The 21953-nt window shown below is 48.7% G+C and overlaps 1 protein-coding gene and 1 pseudogene across 2 annotated transcripts in view; one reads left to right on the plus strand and one right to left on the minus strand.

The window, feature by feature from the left end:
- Positions 12421 to 12852, plus strand: RPL35AP28 (ribosomal protein L35a pseudogene 28; annotated as a pseudogene).
- Positions 16207 to 21953, minus strand: part of FAIM2 (Fas apoptotic inhibitory molecule 2) — a 37005-nt gene continuing 31258 nt past the window's right edge. For both annotated transcript variants that reach the window (NM_012306.4, XM_005268730.4), the window contains one exon: positions 16207 to 19964. In NM_012306.4, coding sequence (NP_036438.2) covers positions 19815 to 19964 — 150 coding nt within the window. In that variant the 3' untranslated portion in view covers positions 16207 to 19814. The remainder of the gene's footprint in view (positions 19965 to 21953) is intronic.

Here is a 21953-nt window from a genome sequence, read left to right on the forward strand (position 1 = left end):
ATGTGCCCACCTTGGCCTCCCAAAGTGCTGGGATTACAGGTGCGAGCCACAGTGCCTGCCCGGGTTTTCTTTCATAAACACTTTCTGTTTTCATTTTGCTTTCCATAAACTGCTCATTTGCTGACAATGACTACGCTAAAGTGAAAAGAACAAAAAGTGATATCTGAAGTATTTTTAAACTCTTAGACCATATTTCTGGCTGTTCTTTCATTTCTTATGAGAAAAGTTCATTTTGTTTCAGGCATGCATGAATTATCAGCTACTTTTCAGCAACTGACATACTGTGAGATCTAGAGGACTTCAGTTAAGTGTTCAGAACCTTAAAGCTAGGAAGAGTTCCATCATTACATACTTTATTCCTTAGGATAAGTTCCTAAGGATGTCCATCTAAGCATTGTTTATATAACAGGAGAACAAACTGAAAACAACCAAGAAGTTCAACAATAAGGAACTGGTTAGATAAATTATGCTACCCTTTCCACCACGCCTGGCCTTGTAGCTAGAGTTTTAAAAAGAATTCTTACCTTCTCTAAATAGTCGTTTAAACATTTACTGGTAAAATGATATAATGCTTCAAAAGAATGGGAGAGAGGAAGATGTATAAGTAAAACAAGATTGGCTATGAGTTGATAAACATCAATCTGAATACAGGGAGAAGAAAGTGTCAAGAAAAGCCCCTGAAATATCAATATTCTTTAATACTGCATCCATGAAACAAGCTATAAAAAGAACATTCAAGCCAGGTGATGGTTATATGGGTGTTTGCCATAAATTCTTTCAACTTTTCTATGTGTTTGGAAATTTTCATAACAAAATATTGGAAAAAAAGAACATTTAATGCACAAAAAAAACCCTCTTGAAAATTAACAATATAATAGCAGAAATGAAACACTCCATAGAACAGTTGGAAAATGAGCTAGAGGCAATCTTCCACAAAGTAGAGCAAAAAAAGCCAAAAGATGGAAAATGGAAAATAGTAGACAAAAGATAAGGTCCAGCCTAGGAGGTCTCACATAATAGGAGTTCCAGAAAGGGAAAGCAGAGAGAACTATCCAATTATCCATCAAATAACTACTATCCAGGAAATAATTCAGTAAAATTTCCTAGAACTGAAGGGCCCATTAAGTGTCAAGTATAATGGATGAAAATAGTTTCACAAATGACAAAACATGGTGAGTTTTCACAACACTGAAGACAGAGAGGAAATCCTCCTATATGTTTTCAGAAAGATTAAAAATAAACAAAAAGACACATTTCATACAAAGAATCAGGAATCACAACAACAGTGGATCTCTCACCGGCCACACTGGCAGCTGGAAGGCAACAGAATAATGCCTTGAATGTTCTGGAGGAAAATGATTTCCAATCTTCCCTTCTATACACAGCCAAATGATTAATTTAGTGTGAAGACAGAATGAAGGCATTTCCAGACATGAAAGAAACCAAACCCATTGTCTTCCATGAGCTCTTTCTCAGGAAGCTACTGGAGAAAATTTTCCACCAAAATGAGGTAGAAAAACCAGAAGTGAAAGTGTATGGAACCTAGAAAGCAGGTTTTTAACAGAGGAGAGTTGAAGGAAATCCCTAGGATGGAGATGGAAGGTTATTGAACAGCAGCAGGGCAGCAGATCTTCAGAGTGACCAATGCAGGCTACAGCAGTCAGAAGATTCCAAGAGAGAAGATGGCATCAACGAGATGAAACTGATAAAACATTTAATGGGCTGGGTGCAGTGGCCCACACCTGTAATCCCAGCACTTTGGGAGGCTGAGATGGGAGGATCACTTGAGGCCAGGAATTTGAGACCAGCCTGGCCAACATGGCGAAACCAATCTCCACTAAAAACATAAAAATTACCTGGGCCATGGTGGCACCATCTGTAATCCCAGCTACTCAGGAGGCCGAGGCACAATAATTGAACCCTGGAGGCGGAGGTTGCAGTGAACTGGGATTGCGCCACTGCACTGCAGCCTGGGGGACAGAGTAAGACCCTGTCTCAAAGAAACAAATCAACAACAACAACAACAACAACAAACCATTTAATGTATCTGAATATATTCAGAGAATATTTGCCCACTTAGGGAAGAGTGAAGAAGTTACTAATAGGCTGGGCACGGTGGCTCACACCTGTAATCCCAGTACTTTGGGAGGCTGAGGCGGGCGGATCACCTGAGGTTGGGAGTTCAAGACCAGCCTGACCAACATGGAGAAACCCTGTCTCTACTAAAAGTACAAAATTAGCCGGGTGTGATGGTGCATGCCTGTAATCCCAGCTACTCGAGAGGCTGAGGCAGGAGAATCCCTTGAACCCGGGAGGCGGAGGTTGTGGTGAGCCAAGATCGTGCCATTGCACTCCAGCCTGGGCAACAAGAGCGAAACTTTGTCTCAAAAAAAAAAAAAAGAAAGAAAGAAATTACTAATAAGGACATAAAAAACTAATCAATTGAACATAGAACTAACAACAATGATCAACTCCCAGAAAAGCAAAATGTTGTGCAAGAAAGGAAAAGTAATCATTGTATACTACATAGTTCAGTGGTCAACAGGGTTTACAGTCTTGATAATGTAAACATTGAATATTGATCAATCTGCAATCATAGTTATAACCAAATCAGAAGGACAGGGTAGGAGTGGCGGGAGGTGGGAAGAATATGTGTGTGTGTGTGTATGTGTGTGTGTGCGTGCACGCACGCATGCATGCCCTTGATTTCCTTCTCTCTGTTTTTAATCCCTTCTGATTTTTTCTCTGACTGACCTTTTGTTTTCTTGTTCAAACTAATGTATTTCCAAGCTTTCTAATGCACATATATTAGTTTTATAGTCAGAAAAAAACCAATACAGGTTATTATCCAGAAAAGGTTAGGGACCACATCTCTGCATCCTGTTTCCCTTCTTAACTCACCATGGATTTACTTCTGTGAATCTTTCTCAATGTATTTCGAGCCTACTTATGTTTTCGGCACATGCCACTGCTTGGGCATAATGAATTCCACAAGGTCACCCTGCTGTGCAAAGTATTTCATAGAATCATAGAATCTTACATTTTTATTTATCATTGTTCAAACCCAAAGGATTCCCTGCACTCAAGAATTATACAAGGTGTGTTCAGGGCAGTGAGGCTGAGGAAAGGTCTGTGAAGGCAGGTAGTGAATGGAGGACTGGAGTGTTTGGGGTTAGTGGGTGGCAGAGGGGCTGATGAAGAAACAGGGAAGGAGAGGACTGGGAAGAGGAGATGAAGAACCATCCCCTGCTGTGGACACCAAGGAAGGAGGACAGAACAATTGCGTCCTGCCCCTGCTGAAAGCCCTCAAAGGCTCCCCGGTGTCCACACAATAAAGTTTGAAGGTCTTAAGTCAGAGCAGAGCTTCTTGAACTTGAATGCACAAAGGAATCACCTGAACCTCTTGTTAAAATGTAGATTCTGTTTTTGTTTGTTTGTTTGTTTGTTTGAGACAGAGTTTCGCTCTTGTTGCCCAGGCTGGAATGCAATGGAATGATCTTGGCTCACCACAACCTCCGCCTCCCAGGTTCAAGCGATTCTCCTGCCTCAGCCTCCCGAGTAGCTGGGATTTCAGGCATGCACCACCACGCCCAACTAATTTCGTATTTTTAGTAGAGACGGGGTTTCTCCTTGTTGGTCAGGCTGGTCTCAAACTCCCGACTTCAGGTGATTCACCTGCCTTGGCCTCCCGAAGTGCTGGGATTACAGGCATGAACCACTGCACCCGGCCTAAAATGTAGATTCTGGCTGGGCACGGAGGCTCATGCCTATAATCCCAGCACTTTGGGAGGCCGAGGCAGGAGGACCCCTTGAACCGAAGAATTCAAGAGTAGCCTGGGCAACATAGTGAGACCCTGTCTCCACAAAAATTTTAAAAAATTAGCCAAGCATGGTGGTGCACGCCTGTATTCCTAGCTACTCAGGAGGCTGAGGTGGGAGGATCACCTGAGCCATGATTACACCACTGCACTTCAGCCTGGGCAATAGAATGAAACTCTGTCTCTAAATAAATAAATACATGTAGATTCCGATTCAGAAGGCCTGTGGTGGGCCTGAGAGTCTGCATTTCTGACAAGCACACAGGTAATACACTCTTTTTGAGCAGTGAGGCCTCAGAGGACTCAAAAGCTCCTCTGAGACTGACTTCCTGTCTGTTCCTTCACCTTCCCCTGCACTCCCCACCCCATCCCAACATCTCTGTTCCAGCCATGCTGAACTACTCACAGTGCCCTGAGTGTGCTGGGTGGGAACTCCGTGTCCTCGCATGTACTGTTCCCTGTGCTTGGAATCTACCCTCCACACACAACTCCCACGTTCCTCAAGACCCAGCTCATGGGTGTCCTCTTTTGTGAAGACTTCACCAGCCACTCTCCTTCAAAGAGAGTGAATGTTTTCCTTCCTCTGTCTACATGAATGTCTGTTGCTGCATTTGTCACACAATACTGCAATGTTTGATTTACCATGAACTCATGGGAAAGAGTGACCACATATAGCCTTTGTATCCCCTGCATCTGGCACGATGCCGGGCAGCTAAAGGAATGTCACCTTAATGGGTGGAGGCTCTTTATACATAGAGAAGGAACAGGTTTTCAGTAATGTACAGTTTTACAAAGGGAAGAAAAAATAATTCGCAGGAAAGGACATCTGATGTCTCAAGTAGGTGATACATGGTGAGTATCACTAATTACCTGTATTCCTTCCATCATCCTTCCCTCCTTTTTTCATCCTTCCCTCCTTTCCTTTTTCTCTGTTTATTTTTTGAGTTTCTCTTTACAGTATATTTTAATACCCAAGTTATAGAATTCTTTCAGTGTAGAAAAATTAGTAAACCTAGATAAGCTACAATAAAAGACCTATTCTTACCCAACCTCTGGAGATAATAATTATTACCTTAAAATTTTTAAAAAATTTGTAGGTACATAGTAGGTGAATGTATTTATGGGGTACATGAGATATTTTGATACAGGCAATAATAATCACCTCAGAGTAAATGGAGTATCCATCAATTTAAGCATTCATCCTTTGTATTTCAAACAATTCAATTTTAGTTATTTTTAAGTGTACAATAAATTATTGTTTTAGTTATTTTAAGTGTACAATAAATTACTGTCAACTACAGTCACCCTGTTGCGCTATCAAACACTAGACCTTCATCATTCTAACTATATTTTTGTACTCATTAACCATCCCCACTTCCACATCCCCCACTACACTTCCCAGCCTCTCATAATCATCCTTCTACTCTATATCTCTATGAGTTCAATTGTTTTAATTTTCAGCTCCCAGAAATAAGTGAGAATATGCAAAGTCTGTCTTTCTGTGCTTGGCTTATTTCCTTTAACATAATGACCTCCAGTTCCATCCATGTTGCTGCAAATGACAGGATCTCATTCTTTTTTATGGCTGAATAGTACTCCATTGTGTATATGTACCACATTTTCTTTATCCATTCATCTGTTGATGGACATTTACGTTGCTTCCAAATCTTTTTTTTTTTTTTTTTTTTTTGAGACAGAGTCTTTCTCTGTCGCCAGGCAGGAGTGCAGCAGCCTGATCTTGGCTCACTGCAACCTCCGCCTCCTGGGTTCAAACGATTCTCCTGGCTCAGCCTCCCGAGTAGCTGGGACTACAGGCGCACGCCACCATGCCCGGCTAATTTTTTGTATTTTAGTAGAGATGGGGTTTCACCATGTTGGTCAGGCTGGTCTGGAACTCCCGACCTCAGGTGATCAGCCTGCCTCGGCCTCCCAAAGTGCTGGGATTACAGGCGTAAGCCACCGCACCCGGCCCCAAATCTTGGCTATAGTGAAAAGTGCTGCAATAAACATGGGAGTGCAGATATCTCTTTGATATAATGATGTCTTTCTTTTGGGTATATACCTAGTAGTGGGATTGGTGAATCATAAGGTAGCTCTACTTTTAGTTTTTTGGGGGCCCTCCAGACTGTTCTCCATAGTGGTTGTAGTAATTTACATTCCCACCCACAGAGTATGAGGGTTCCCTTTTCTCCACATCCTCACCAGCATGCGTTATTGCCCATCTTTCCGATGAAAGCCATTTTAACTAGGATGAGATGATATCTCATTGTAGTTTTGATTTGCATATCTCTGGTGATCAATGATGTTGAGCACCTTTTCATATACCTGTTTGCCATTGTATGTTTTCTTTTGAGAAATGTCTATTCAGATCTTTTGTCCATTTTTAATTGGATTACTAGATTTTTTTCCTATTGAGGTATTTGAGCTCCTTATATATTCTGGTTATTAATCCCTTGTCAGATGGATCGTCTGCAACTATTTTTTCTCCCATTCTGTGGGTTGTTTCTTCACTTTGTTGATCGTTCCCTTTGCTGTGCAGAAGCTTTTTAACTTGATGTGATCCCATTTGTCCATTTTTGCTTTGGTTGCCTGTGCTTGTGGGGTATTACTCAAGAAATCTTTGCCCAGCCCAATGTGCCGGAGAGTTTCCCCAGTGTTTTCCTTTAGTAGTTTCATAGTTTGAGGTCTTAGATTTAAGACTTCAATCGATTTTGATTTGATTTTTGTATATGTTGAGAGATGGAGGCCTAGTTTCATTCTTCTGCATATGGATATTCAGTTTCCCAGCATCATTTATTGAAGAGAATGTCCATTCCCTAATGTATATTCTAGGCAACTTTGTTGAAAATGAGTTCACTGTAGATGTATGGATTTATTTCTGGGTTTTCTTTTCTGTTCCATTGGTCTATGTATCTGTTTTTATACCAGTACCATGCCGTTTTGGTTACTATAATGGCTCTGTAGTATAATTTGAAGTCAAATAATGTGATTCCTCCAGTTTTGTTTTTTGCTCAGGATAGCTTTGCCTAACTAACATTTTAATATATATCCATCTAGGGTTTTTTCTATTCATAAGTAAACATAAAATGTGTGTGCATATATATATTTTAATCAACATTAAACAAATTAAGTAGTTTTAATATTACTCAAATATTACAACTGTGAGTATAGCCTCCTTTGGAGATGCCACCAGAAGCCTACATTTCGGAACGTTTTTGAGGAAAACAGGCCATTTAGTTTGCAGAATATCCTTCAATTTGTTTTTTTTTGTTGTTGTTGGGTTTTTTTTGAGACAGAGTCTCACTCTGTCGCCCAGGCTGGAGTGCAGTGGCGTGATCTCGGCTCACTGCAACCTCCGCCTCCCAGGTTCAAGCAATTCTCATGTTTCAGCTTTCCGAGTAGCTGGGACTGCAGGCATGTGCCACTATGCCCAGCTAATTTTTGTACTTTCAGTAGAGATGGAGTTTCACCGTGTTGCCCAGGCTGGTCTCGAGCTCCTGACCTCGAGCTTCTGACCTCAAGTGATCCACCTGCCTCAGCCTCCCAAAGTGCTGGTATTACAGGTGTGAGCCGCTGCACCACCCTCAATTTGGTTTTGTCTAATATTTCTTCATGATAAGATTCAGGCTTTGCTTCTTCTTTTCTTTCTTTCTTTTTTTCTTTCTTTCTTTCTTTTTTTTTTTTTTGAAATAGAGTCTCACTCTGTCGCCCAGGCTGGAGTGCAGTGGCATAGACTTGGCTCACTGCAGCCTTCACTGCCTGGGCTCAAGCAATCCTCCTGCCTTGGCCTCCCAAAGTGCTAGGATTACAGATGTGAGACATCCTGCCAGCCGGCTTTGCATTTTTTTGGCAGAAGTGTTATAAAGTATATTTTTGTCCTTCTCAGCACATCATATCAGAAAACACATAGTGTCAATTTGTGCCATTATTTGTGATTCATGATTAAGTTGGAACCTAACAGTTTTCTCTAATGTAGTGTTATCATTTTTTCCTTTGTAACTTTTTTTTTAGACAGGGTCTCGCTCTGCCCAGGCTGGAGTGCAGTGGTATGATCTCGGCTCTCTGCAACCTCTGCCTCCTAGGCTCCAATAATCCTCCCACCTCAGCCTCCCAAGTAGCTAGGACTATAGGCATGTGCTACTCAGCTAATTTGTGTATTTCTAATAGAGACAGAGTTTCACCATGTTGCATAGACTGGTCTTGAATTCCTGGACTCAAGCGATCCACCCACTTCAGTCTTCCAAAGTGCTGGGATTACAGGTGTAAGCCACTGTGCCAGACCTCTCCTTTGTAATTTAAAAGTAATCTGTGAACAAAAAGCAATCTATGCACATGAAAAGATACTAAGCATCACTACTCGTTAGGGAATGCAAACTCAAACCATAATGAGATACCAATTCACATCCACAAATAGGGCTAAAATTTAAAAGACAGACATCAACAAGTTGGCAAGGATGTGGGGAAATTGGAACCCCTCATCCATTGCTGATGGGATATAAAATGGTGCAGCCTCTTCGAAAAACAACTTGGCAGTTCCTCAAAAAGTTAAACATAGGTACATATGACACAGCAATGCTTCTCCTAGGTGTGAAAACACATCCCCACAAAAAGCAGGAATGTTTATGGCAGTATTACTCATATAGACAAAGGTGAAAGCAAATGTCCATCAATTGATGAGTGGATACATAAAATGTGGTCTATTCATACAATAGAATATTATTTGGCAATAAAAAGGAATGAAGTGGCCAGGCTCAGTGGCTTACACCTGTCATCCCAGCACTTTGAGAGGCAGAGGTGGTGGATTGCTTGAGTCCAGGAGTTCGAGACCAGCCTGGGTGACATGGTGAAACCCCGTCTCTACAAAAAAAAAAAATACAAAAATTAGGCTGGGTGCAGTGGCAGATGCCTGTAATCCCAGCACTCTGGGAGGCTGAGGAGGGCAGATCACTTGAGTCCAGGAGTTCAAGACCAGCACGAAGAACATGGCAAAACCCTGTCTCTACAAAAAATACAAAAATTAGCCAGGCATGGTGGCACATGCCTGTAGTCCCAACTACTCAAGAGGCTGAAACGGAAAGATGGCTTGAGCTCAGGAGGTGGAGGTTGCAGTGAGCCAAGATTGTGCCACTGCACTCCAGCCTGAGTGACAGAGCCAGGCCCTGTCTCAAAACAAGAACAAAAACAAAAACAAAAACAAAAACAAAAATTAGCTGGGCACAGTGGCATGCACTTGTGGTCCCAGGTGCTCAGGAGGCTGAGGCGGAAGGATTGCTTGAGCCCAGGAGGTGGAGGTTGCAGTGAGCTGAGACTGTGCCACTGCACTCCAGCCTGGGCGACAGAGTGAAACTCTATCTCCAAAAAGAAAAAGGAATGAACTACTAATACATGCTACAACATAGAGAACGCTGGAAAACATTATGCTGAGTGAAAGAAGCCAGTCACGGAAGACTGTATTGTATGATTCCATTTATGTGAAGTGTTCAAAATAGGTACATTTCTAGAAACAGAAAGTAGATTCATGGTTGCCAGGGATAGGGGAAGGAAGGGAATAGGAACTAATGCTAATGGGAGAGAGAGAGGAAAACATTCTAAAATTAGATTGTAGTGATAGTTGCACAGCCCTTTGAATATACTAAGAAAACATTGAATTGCACATTTTAAATGGTATGTTATACGGCGTTTGGATTATATCTCAATAAAGCCCTCTCCCTCTCCCTCTCCCTCTCCCCACGGTCTCCCTCTCCCTCTCTTTCCACGGTCTCCCTCTGATGCCGAGCAGAAGCTGGACTGTACTGCTGCCATCTCGGCTCACTGCAACCTCCCTGCCTGATTCTCCTGCCTCAGCCTGCCCAGTGCCCGCGATTGCACGCGCCGCCACACCTGACTGGTTTTCGTATTTTTTTGGTGGAGACGGGGTTTCGCTGTGTTGGCCGGGCTGGTCTCCAGCTCCTAACCGCGAGTGATCTGCCAGCCTCAGCCTCCCGAGGTGCCAGGATTGCAGACGGAGTCTGGTTCACTCAGTGCTCAATGGTGCCCAGGCTGGAGTGCAGTGGCGTGATCTCGGCTCGCTACAACCTCCACCTCCCAGCCGCCTGCCTTGGCCTCCCAAAGTGCCGAGAGTGCAGCCTCTGCCTGGCCGCCACCCCGTCTGGGAAGTGAGGAGCGTCTCTGCCTGGCCGCCCATCGTCTGGGACATGAGGAGCCCCTCTGCCTGGCTGCCCAGTCTGGAAAGTGAGGAGCGTCTCTGCCCGGCCGCCATCCCATCTAGGAAGTGAGGAGCGCCTCTTCCCGGCCGCCATCCCATCTAGGAAGTGAGGAGCGTCTCTGCCCGGCCGCCCATCGTCTGAGATGTGGGGAGCGCCTCTGCCCCGCCGCCTCATCTGGGATGTGAGGAGCGCCTCTGCCCGGCCGCGACCCCGTCTGGGAGGTGAGGAGCGTCTCTGCCCAGCCGCCCCGTCTGAGAAGTGAGGAGACCCCCCGCCTGGCAACCACCCCGTCTGAGAAGTGAGGAGCCCCTCCGCCCGGCAGCCACCCCATCTGAGAAGTGAGGAGCCCCTCCGCCCGGCAGCCACCCCGTCTGGGAAGGGAGGAGCGTCTCCGCCCGGCAGCCGCCCCGTCCGGGAGGGAGGTGGGGGGGTCAGCCCCCCGCCCAGCCAGCCGCCCCGACCGGGAGGAAGGTGGGGGGCCAGCCCCCCCACCCGGCTGGCCGCCCCATCCGGGAGGTGAGGGGCGCCTCTGCCCGGCCGCCCCTACTGGGAGGTGGGGAGCCCCTCTGCCCGGCCAGCCGCCCCGTCCGGGAGGGAGGTGGGGAGGTCAGCCCCCCGCCCGGCCAGCCGCCCCGTCCGGGAGGGAGGTGGGGGTCAGCCCCCCGCCCAGCCAGCCGCCCCATCCGGCAGGTGAGGGGCGCCTCTGCCCGGCCGCCCCTACTGGGAAGTGAGGAGCCCCTCTGCCCGGCCACCACCCCGTCTGGGAGGTGTACCCAACAGCTCATTGAGAACGGGCCATGATGACAATGGCGGTTTTGTGGAATAGAAAGGGGGGAAAGGTGGGGAAAAGATTGAGAAATCGGATGGTTTCCGTGTTTGTGTAGAAAGAAGTAACATGGGAGACTTTTCATTTTGTTCTGTACTAAGAAAAATTCTTCTGCCTTGGGATCCTGTTGATCTGTGACCTTACCCCCAACCCTGTGCTCTCTGAAACATGTGCTGTGTCCACTCAGGGTTAAATGGATTAAGGGCAGTGCAAGATGTGCTTTGTTAAACAGATGTTTGAAGGCAGCATGCTCGTTAAGAGTCATCACCACTCCCTAATCTCAAGTACCCAGGGACACAAACACTGTGGAAGGCCGCAGGGTCCTCTGCCTAGGAAAACCACAGACCTTTGTTCACTTATTTATCTGCTGACCTTCCCTCCACTATTGTCCTATGACCCTGCCAAATCCCCCTCTGCGAGAAACACCCAAGAATGATCAATTAAAAAAATAAATAAATAAATAAATAAAATAAAGCTGTTTAAACACAAAGAAAGGCCGGGCACGGTGGCTCATGCCTGTAATCCCAGCACTTTGGGAGGCCGAGGCAGATGGATCACCTGAGGTCAGGAGTTTGATACCAGTCTAACCATCATCGTGAAATCTCATCTCTACTAAAAATACAAAAATTAGCAGGGCTTGGTGGCGGACGACTGTAGTCCCAGCTATTCGGGAGGTTGAGACAGGAGAATTGCTCGAACCTGAGAGGTGGAGGTTGCAGTGAGCCGAGATCGTGCCAGGGCACTCCAGCCTGGGCAACAGAGTGAGACTGTGTCTCAAAACAAAAACAAAAACTAAAAACAAACACAAAGAAAAAAGAAGTCTGTGTGGAGGCATGTTTAAACTATATCAATATTCTGTTCCCTATCAAACTTGCACCTAAGAGTTTTAGCATCCATTGATGATTCTTGACTGAATCATTACTGTATTGCAAAATGGTGATTTTTCTATCATTACTTCTTCATCTACTAGTTGGCATTTTACTATAAGGAAGAGCCATCAAAGATATTTTTAAAAATAAAAAATGGGATTATACTCAATATTAATGCTTCATAATTTGCTTTCTAATTTAATATTATTCAGTACTGTGATTCTGTATGTAAATATTTACCCATGTCCTCATTTTTAGTGGCTGCTAAGTTTTTTGTTTTTTGAGACAGGGTCTTGCTCTGTCACCCAGGCTGGAGTGCAATGGCCTGATCTCAGCTCACTGCAACCTCCGCCTCCTGGGTTCAAGCGATTCTCCTGCCTCAGCCTCCTGAGTAGCTGGAATTACAGGCATGTGCCACCAAGCCTGGATAATTTTTGTATTTTTTAGTAGAGACAGGGTTTCACCATGTTGGCCAGGCTGGTCTCAAACTCCTGACCTCAGGTGATCCTCCTGTCACAGCTTCTGAAAGTGCTGGGATTACAGGCGTGAGCCACTGCACCTGGTCTCTATGAATCTTATTGGAGGATTATTCCATTAGACAAAAATCACACTGATAAGTCTCTTTAAGACAAGGCCTTCTCTATCTTGGGTACCCAGTGAGGCTGCAGAGGAATAATATCCTTAAGATCCTTAGAAGGTCTTTCTCTTCCTGCCATCTTGAATCCTGTGGAGGCCTGCTGGGAGCAGGACTTCTAAAAGGAAATATGTCTGGAAGGCTGTGGTCCAAGGCCATTTTTGCTGACTATAAGCACAGTCTCTGGAATCAAAGGGAGCACACAGCAGTTCTTAAAATTGAAGGTGGTTTATGCCCGAGATGAAACAGAATTCTATTTGGGCAAGAGATGTGCTTATGTATACAAAGCAAAGGACACCACAGTGACTCCTGGTAGCAAACCAAACAAAACCAGAGTAGTCTGGGGAAAGGTAACTAGGGCCCACGGAAACAGTGGCAAGGTTCGTGCCAAATTCCGAAACAATCTTCCTGCTAAGCCCACTGGACACAGAATCTGAGTGATGCTGTACCCCTCAAGGGTTTCAACTAATGAAAAGTCAACAAATAAAAGTGGATTTGTTGGGGGGAAAAGATCCTTAGAAGTCCGATTGTTTAACAGAGTGGGTCTGCAACAAATGCCTGTGGGATCCTTAGGAGTACTTCTGCCTGTCTGAAGGATTGAGGCACCCGCTTAGATCTTTCTGATGCTTAATGACTGCTTTCACAGTCATAGCTTTGACTTCATCTTTACCCAGAGACTGTGTGTTCCTGACAGTGCTCTGGAGTTGATCTTTGCCCCAAGGCTTTTTTATTACTTTGACAATTCTTCCTTGGCTGGAAAGATTATCCTGGGCTTTTTATATCTCCTCCAAATTCTGCTTAAAAAACAGAATAATTCTTTCTTTAGCTTTTTTCTCACTATCTGTATCTTAGGATGCAAGGCTCAAATAAGCCAAACACACTTTCAACACTGCCTGAAAATCCTAGCCAGAGTCATCAGTTAATTAGACCTTTTTTATCTTTCACATTAGCACAGATGAAAGTTTCACTCAACTGTCCACCACTATATCAGAGTCTCTGTTCCTCCAGATTCCAGTAATGTTTCGCTCAACTTTCCCTGGAGCCTTCGCCCGCAGTCTCCTCAAGGCCCTGCCAGCTTTCACGCACGGTCTCACTGAGGGTGTCAGGCGCCTCCCACACACGTTAGGTTCTGCTACGGCAGTGCCTCACTTCCAGGTACCAAATCCTGTTCCAGGCATCTGTTGCTGCATAGCAAATGACTTCAAGCTTAGTGGCATAAAACCACAACCATTTTATTATTCTCACGGATTCTGTGGATTAGGAATTTGGATAGGGCATGGAGGAGATGGATTTTTAATGCTCCATGAGGTCTTGGACCTCAACCAGGAAGACTGGGTGCACAGGAGCTGGAACAGCTGAAGTTGGAGAATCCACTTCCAGGATGGTTCTTCCTGCCTACAGCTGCCAGCCTGGCAGGCGTGGCTGGGAGGCTGGCTCAGCTGGGTCTCTTGGCTGGAGCACCACACGTGGCCTCTCTGGCATGGCAGCCTCGGGAAATTTGACTTCTTACATAGTGGCTCAGGAGAAAAAGAAGCCAACAGGGGGACAGCAGTGATGCGGGACAGGCGAGACTCACTCCTTTTGGCAGGGTTTCCCCAGATAAAGCAAGCAGAGAGTGTGGAGGGGAGTGGAGGATGAGAAGCTGGGAAGAAAGCATCTTAGCCATCCGTGGTGTGTGTGTGTGCGCACACACGCATGTGCATGTGTGTGTGTGCAGGCACACACACAAAATCTGTGAGGGCAAACAGGTTTGCTGGGAGTAGCCAGACTTGAGTAAAGACAGATGGTATAAGTGAGCTGGATGAGGTTGCTCAGCTCTGGGATTTCTCCAGTCTCACTGGGGGCTGGGTACTGTATGTGAAGACTGTCCCATGGGTGGGGGATGCGTACAGAGGCCACCACGGGGCAGTAGCAGCCAGAAGAGAATGAATGGTGTAAAGGGTTGAATAGGGGCCCCCTCAAGAGAGATATGTCCAAGTTCTAAACCCCTGTACCTGTGAATGTGACCTTTTTTGGAAATAGGATCTTTTTCCAAATAAAGATCTTGAGATGAGATCATCCTAGATTTATTGTAAGCCTTAAATCCAGAGACAGGTATCCTTCTAGGAGGACGGAGAGGGAGCTTCAAGACACAGAGACACAGAGGAGAAGGCCATATGAAGATGGAGGCAGAGACTGGAGGCGCCATTGCCAAGCAACACTGCGGATCACCTGCAGCTGCCAGAGGCTTGGAAAGTGCTTGCCACAGGCCCTCCCTCAGAGCCTCCAGCAGGAACCCACCCTGCTGACACCTTGGCTTCAGGCTTCCAGCCTCCACAGCTGTGGTGAAATGAATCACTGTTGTTTTGAGCCACCCAGTTTGTGGCAATTTGTATGGCAGTCCTAGGAAAGCTAACAGGCAGTCCAGGTAAGAATGGGTGGTGAGGCAGAAGGGATCTGGAGGCAGGGGGTGGCAAGGGGGCCCAGCGTGTACCCCAACCTAGACCATTCATCCCTTCCATCACACCAGCCCCTGCCCCTCAACATTTTGCACACTTTGAGCCCTGATCCAGGGATCTTCCCTTTCCCCGGCGACACGGCTCAGCACTGCTTCCCCGGTGGGGCTGCATCTTCTCAGGACCCACGGCTGCACGGTCTCGAGCCACAGTGCCTGGTTTCTCTCTTGCACCACCGTTGGTATCTTCTCCCTGTCCTATCTCTCACAATCTGTGGAAGTGCTTTGTATGCAGTGAGCGCTTAATAAAAGTCACTTTTCTCTCCTCAGAGTCCTCTAACTCTTGCCCCAGCCACTTTCCCTACTCCAGCTGAATTTGTGTCCTAACCTTGTCAGAGACAAGGATAACGTCCCCCATGGCTCCAGTGTGATGGCGTTCCCTCCCCTCCCACACAGCGCCCTGGCCCCACATTCCCCACAGGAGCTTGTGGGGTGATCATTAACCCATGCGCCTCCTGACCCCACTTCCAGTCGTTAATTTGTGCGTAAACTTGGACAAATCGCTGCACCCTCTGCTCCTTAGTTTCCTCTCAGGTAAAATAAGAGGGTTGGAGTAGACACATTCACCTATGCATTCCTCCATTCGCTAGTAAGTTGTTTACTGAGACCGTGCGTCATAACTCTGCCTTCAAGGAGCTTTGGTTCTGTAGGGTTGTTGTTTTGTTTTGTTTTTTTTAAGACGGAGTCTTGCTCTGTCGCCCAGGCTGGAGTGAAGTGGTGTAAGCTTGGCTCACTGCAACCTCCGCCTCCTGGGTTCAAGCGATTCTCGTCTCAGTCTCTTGAGTAGCTGGGATTACAGGTGTGCGCCACTACGCCCAGCTAATTTTTGTGTTTTTAGTAGAGACAGGGTTTCACCATGTTGGCCAGGCTGGTCTCGAACTCCTGACCTCAGGTGATCTACCCACCTCGGCCTCCTAAAGTGCTGGGATTACAGGCGTGAGCCACTGAGCCCAGCCAAGGTTCTGTGGTTTTAAAGCTGCCGCTCTGGACAATCTGTCCAGATGCAACCCAGGCATTCCTTCCTTCTGTGTACCTTTTAGGAAGCAGATTTTGGCTCAAAATAAGAAAGACCCTTCTACCAGAACGGCCCACAAACGGACAGGCTTCCACAGAAAGGGGTGAGCCCCTGTTCCGGAGGAGACTCTGGGATTGCTTCTAACTCCGGGATCCTGAGAGCCTCCGTAAAGGGTTTATTGAGCAGGAGAACCAATTTAACCCTGTCCACATGAAAATAAACATGGAGATTTACTTCAAACTCAGCAGCTCTGGTGAGAAGGCTCTCACACAGGTCCGGGTTTGACCCACACAGACTCCACGACCATCTGAGGCAACCAGCACACGGCAGACGAGGGAAACAACTCAGGTGTCACAATTGCTTTTATTTTTATCTCCAGTCAGTCACAGACCCCAGGAAGGTGAGGTCAGGGAAGGGAACAGGTGCGGACACTGGGGAACTTGCAGGAGCTAAGGCCAGTGGACAGCAGGAGTGTCGGGGGTGTGGCAGCTGGCCTGGGTCCCTGGAGCTGTGTCTGCCCTCAGGGACTCAGGAGAACGGCTCAGGGAGGGCTTGGGAGGGGGTACACTGTGTCCGAGAGATGCAACCATCGTTCGGCAAAAGAAAACAGCGGTGGCTGATGAGAAGACAGGTCTGGGGAGGTCTGAGGAGAGCTCGGGCCAGATCCTGCCCCCAACCTCCAGCCACATGGGCCCTCGGTGACTCTCCCAAACCAGGCCCTGCGTTTCCTCAAGCAGCCACTGGAGGGCAGCAAAGTGCTTATGCAAAAATCCCACCCCGCCCAGGAGAGCAGCCAGGACACCTGGGACTTGGCTTCAGGTGGGCCAGGGAAGGAGGCAAGGAGCCTTTTGGAAAATGGGTGTCTGTCCCATCCTGACTCCCTCGGAAGGAAGAGTAGGGAATGGAAGAACTAAGATTCCGGGGCTTCCCCAGGTGATACCGAAGGAGCCATAGGTGTGCCCGGGAATGAGTCCCAGACTCGTGTGTGCCTCCCGGGCCCCCATCTGCAGCTTCCAGAAGAGGACTTCAGTGGGAGACCCCTCAACTCACATTCCGGACAGTCAGATTCCTGGCTGCCTCCAGCTTTACAAAATCCAGCCCACCCCTTCCTGGGCCCAGCCCCACCCAGGCCAAAAATGTGAAGGGCCTGCAGACTCCCTTCCTCCTTTACAGCTTGTGACACCTGCTCAGCTGCGGTTTCCTTAATCTTGCATTCCTGTTCCCCTGCCCTTCCTACTTCTGACGCCTCTCCTGGTGTTTCAGGATTCCTCACTGCCTGGATTGGAGATGGAACGCATAGACTTTGGCCCTGACCCTGCTGCCTACACTGTGGTACCTGCCACCCCCCCTCAGGACCCAGAGTAGGAGGCTGCGGCATCTTCTGCCCGGCTTCCCCAGCTCTGCAAAGAAGCCATTTCTCAAATGGCTGTGATGCGTGTGTGACACTGTTTATTGCCGAGGACCTGTCCCTCCTCCCCCAAGCTTTTGGCACTCAGCCCTGAATAAGCTTCTAAATCCCCAGTTTCTGCAGTAACTTATCCCAGGGAGAGGAGAACTTGGACAAGTAGATTCTAGGAAGCATGACCAAGGCTATCTGACAGTGGCAGGAGAGTGGGGTGCTGGGGCTAACCCTCTGGAACTGAGGCCAGAGATGAGGAGAGGAAACTGAGGGGCCCGGAGGAGAGGAGGTGGAGGAGGGTGGGAACCGGGTGAGAAAGTCAGTGGAGAGAAATGTTCTGGTGCCTCTCCCGCCCTATCCTGGCTATGAACTTCCATGTGGCAGATGGAAAAACTGAATTCCAGACAGCAAGAAACCCTCACCTAATAGCAGGAGCCCGCTGGCAGTGAGGCTAGGAACCAGAAACCAGAAATCTTGCCTCCCAGCTCTTGTCTGGAAGATAGAAACCTCAGAGTGCAAAATCTGGCGAGGGGTTTCAGGAAAGACGGGAGGCCGGGTGGCACTGAGGACAAGAAATCCCCAGGACATCAGGGCCTGACCACCCACCTCTCTGCGCTCTCATGTGGTCTCATTCCGGCCCCCACCCAGGCCCAGGGGCAAGCGTGATACCCTGTTTGCTTGAGGCAGCTGTGGGTCTGAACCCCAGGCCCGCCACTCGCTAGCCGTATGACCTGGGACTCATTACCGAGCCTTTCTGAGCACCTCGGCTTTTCCCTCTGCTACGGACATGAGCAGAGCGCTGTCTCTGGAGGATCACTGCGATGGATTAATTTAGACCAGCACACAGTGGGCATCTCACCCGTGCCCCCAATGCCTTTGCTGCACACACACCACCCGCCAGTTCTTGGCTCCTTTTCTCTTCAAATATCCAAGATGGAACAAAACTTCAAATGCTTCTGCAATGTTTCTTGAAAGCTGGGAGTAGGAAGGGTGGGGAGGGATGGGGCTGGGAAGGAACAGCACACCTCGTCTCCCTTCCCAAGGCAGACGGAGCTCCCAGCACAGGGGAGAGAGAAGAGGAGGAGGGCGAAGCCAAGGGAGGGTCCTGCTAGCCACTCAGAGCCTTCCTGTATCCACACAGTAACTTTCCACTGGCCTGGAGTTGGCCACTGCACATGCTGGCTGCACGCTCCCCCAGTGTGGCCTCCTGGTTCCCTCCCCACAGGCGCCCCTCTGGGGGTTGGAGGGCTGACGCACACCCTGCCTGAGATCCCAGCCGCCTGGAAGCTGATAAGGAGCCCTGGCCTCATTACATGGGACCAGCTGGAGGGACTGGCCCTGGCTGTTAGCATCAGCTGGATGGCTTCCAAATTGGAGAGATGCAGAGATAAGTGGGGGAGCACTTAGGGACTCTGGGCTGAGTGAGTGGCCAGTGAAGCTAGAAGAGATGTGGACTGTGCCAACTATGAAGACCTCAGGAGGCCTGGCTGGGGACGAGCCAGCAAACAGCAGCTGACAGGAAGGGTTTAGGAAATAAGAGGTGCAGAAGGGACTCCCACACAGCCTCGGGTTAGGGCTGAGGCAGAGCAGGGACTCCTTCCAGATGGGGCTGGCCTGGCAGCTACAGCGATTGCCTCCTCCCCCAGAACATCCAGCCGGAGGGCCCAATCACACCTCACTCAGCCTTAGGCCTGTGGCAGCTGCCTGGCGGGTGGAGAAGTGAGTGAGAGGATGTGGGTCTCGGTCCTGCAACCCCAAATGCCTCCCAGGTGGACGCGGGTCTGGGTGGATTGGCTCCCCAGCTCCCACTTCCCTGGGAGCCCCAGGGCAGGCCCTTACCAAGGAGCGGGGCCCCCTGCCCTCACCTCCTGCCCCAAAAGAGCTCTGTCATGACCCGGGAGGGCCATTCACAGCAAGCAGCAGACAGCACAGGCTTCAGACCCTCTCCTATTGCCCTTGGCCTCCAGGTCCAAATCCCTAGAACAAGCCGCTGGTCCCAGAGCCAAGAGAAGATGGGCAGACTGGGACAGCCATCCTGCCCACCCACTCCACCTGCCCAGCTGTGTCCCCTACCCCCTTTCTTACAAAGTGTCAATGCCTGACCTGGATGAGAAAGACAGGAGGACACAGACTGGATGCAGGACAGTGTGCCCTAAGGCCACATGATTGTGCAGCCCTAGGAGGAATTGCAGTGGGGCTCAGGGCTCTGCCGGGCTTCCTGGGTCTCTCTCCTGCATCTGAAATCCTGCTAGGCTTCTCCTCCTTGTCCCTTGGACCCTCAAACCCAGAGGAGCCTTCAGCCTTGACCGTCCCAGTTTGGAAGATGTAACGGGCGAATGGGGCGGCACAGGGATTGACGTGGCCTCAGTTCCTCAGGGTCCCCATGGCGTATGTACAAGCGGCAGAGGGCTGGGCTGGGCTGGGGTAGACAGTGACCTGGCCACAGGCTGGGTTGGCAGCTAGTTTTATATCTGGTCTCGCAGGAGCGCAGGGGAGGGACAGGGAACCAGGAGGGGCGCATTCTCTGGAGGACGGTGGGGCAGGGAGGGCTCCTCATTCTCGGTTAGTGCCAAAAAGCTGCAGGAAGAAGGTGAAGATATAGATGATGTCTAGGTAAATGTTGAGGGCTCCAAAAATATACTCCTCAGGGCTCAGCGAGTGGCGTCGGTTACCCATCAGCAACTGGGTGTCAAGTGCCAGGAACTGGGAGAAGTGAGGAGAGAGAGAGAGAGGTCAGAGGCCCAGGCAGTGTGACACTGACTATGGCAGCCCAGGTGTCCCCCTCAGCCCCACCCCCAATTTTATTACCCTCACCAGCTGCCTGACTACCCAGTGGCCCTCCTGTGACACCTTCTGTCCCTAATTCTATTCAGCAGCTATTTACTGAGCACCTGCTATGTGCTAGGCACAGGGATACAGCAGAGAACAAGACAGCCGGGATCCCTGTCCTCACAGAGCTTAGAGTCTAGAGGAAGTAATTGTTAGGATGATGAGTATAACAAGGTTCCAGGCAGCAGTGGGGCTGATAACAAGGAGCCTCACCTATGTGAGTGTGGCAGGAAGTTAGGGAAGGCTTCCTGGGAGAGGGGACCTTCAAGCTGAGGCCTAGTCTTCTTGCCATTCCCTCCGGACCCTGCTCTCAGAGGAAGGCAAACGCTTCAGGTACAAGCAGGGCCCGGGCACTTGTGCTGTACTGACAGCCCATCAGTGCTACCGACATCCCCATCAAATAAGAATCCGATTCTTCCTACAGGAAGCGAGGCCCAGAGACCTTAAATATTAGCTAAAGGTTACACAGCTGGAAAGTGGCAAAGCCAAGATTTCAACCTGAGCAGGCCGGCTTCGGAGCCCCAGGTGTAAACATTCTGCCCTGCTGCTAACAGCACCCGGGGTTAATGCCTTTCCTCCCAGGAAACAGGCTCTTCCCTGGGGCCCTGCTTGGCCTAATGGACTAGGAACAGATTCCCTCTGAGACAGCGCTGTGTCACCCCCCTGCCCCTGCCAGGCCTGCCCACTGTATACAGTGGCTCCTACCCTTTGCCATGTAGCTTTCCTCTGGGCTCCAAGCCTAAAGAGCAGAACCCTTAAGTAGCATATGAAATTTGGCAGGCGTGGTGCGCTTTTCTGGAGAAAGAGGCCAAAAAGTCCACCAGTATCTCAAAGGTGATGAAGCACTGATCCACGTGGGATTGGAATTTTTTTTCTTTTCTTTTCTTTTCTTTTTTTTTTTTTTGAGACAGAGTTTCGCTCTTGTTGCCCAGGTCGGAGTGCAATGGCGTGATCTCAGCTCACTGCAACCTCCACCTCCCAGGCTCAAGCGATTCTCCTGCCTCAGCCTCCCGAGGAGCTAGGATTACAGGCATGTGCCACCACACCCAGCTAATTTTGTATTTTTAGCAGAGACGGGTTTTCTCCATGTTGGTCAGGCTGGTCCTGAACTCCCAACCTCAGGTGATCTGCCCGCCTCGGCCTCTCAAAGTGCTGGGGTTACAGGCATGAGCCACCAGGCCCAGCCCGGGATTAGAATTCTTTTACATTGATTCACATTCTTGTTAACTGGGCTCTTCAGTCACTTGTGTATGAAAGGCATGTTCCCTGGGTCCTCTGAAACTCATTCATCATACAATAAATATGTATGGGGCAACAGCTGCATGACAGGGACTTGCTAAGAGCAAAAGAGACGAGAAACACAAAGCCGTGCCTGCCTTGGGGAAGCTCGCAGCGTCATGGGGGACACTTATAGGTCATTACAAGAAAACCCAGGAAATGCACAATTAGGACTATGAAGGAAGGAGCTACTAATTGGGCCAGAGGAAGGTGACCCAGGAGAGGTGGCATTTCACCTGAGGCTTAAGTAGGAGTTTGCTAGCTGGGAAGGCCTAGGGAAGCCTGGGAGGCCTGACTGGTGTTGTGTGAAGAGTGGGGAACTCGGTGAGGCAGGAACTATGGGAGAAGTGGATAGAGGAGGAAGGGATTGGGGCTTGCCCTTGCAGCTTGCACTCTGCTTGGTAGACAGGGGTCATGCCCAGTTCCCTTTCCTTCACCTCCGCCATGGACTCCTTGTCTCCCAAGACCCAGACTTTAGAGTTGCTATAGACGCAGCCCTGTAGAATCCTAGTCGAATCCCAGCCCTGGTGCAATGCTCCCCCCGGCAGGCCCAAGAGGCCAGGGCTCCAACAGGGAGCAATTCCA

This window comes from Homo sapiens, chromosome 12 (assembly GCF_000001405.40).
Source record: "Homo sapiens chromosome 12, GRCh38.p14 Primary Assembly".
In the NCBI taxonomy this organism is placed as follows: Eukaryota; Metazoa; Chordata; class Mammalia; order Primates; family Hominidae; genus Homo; species Homo sapiens.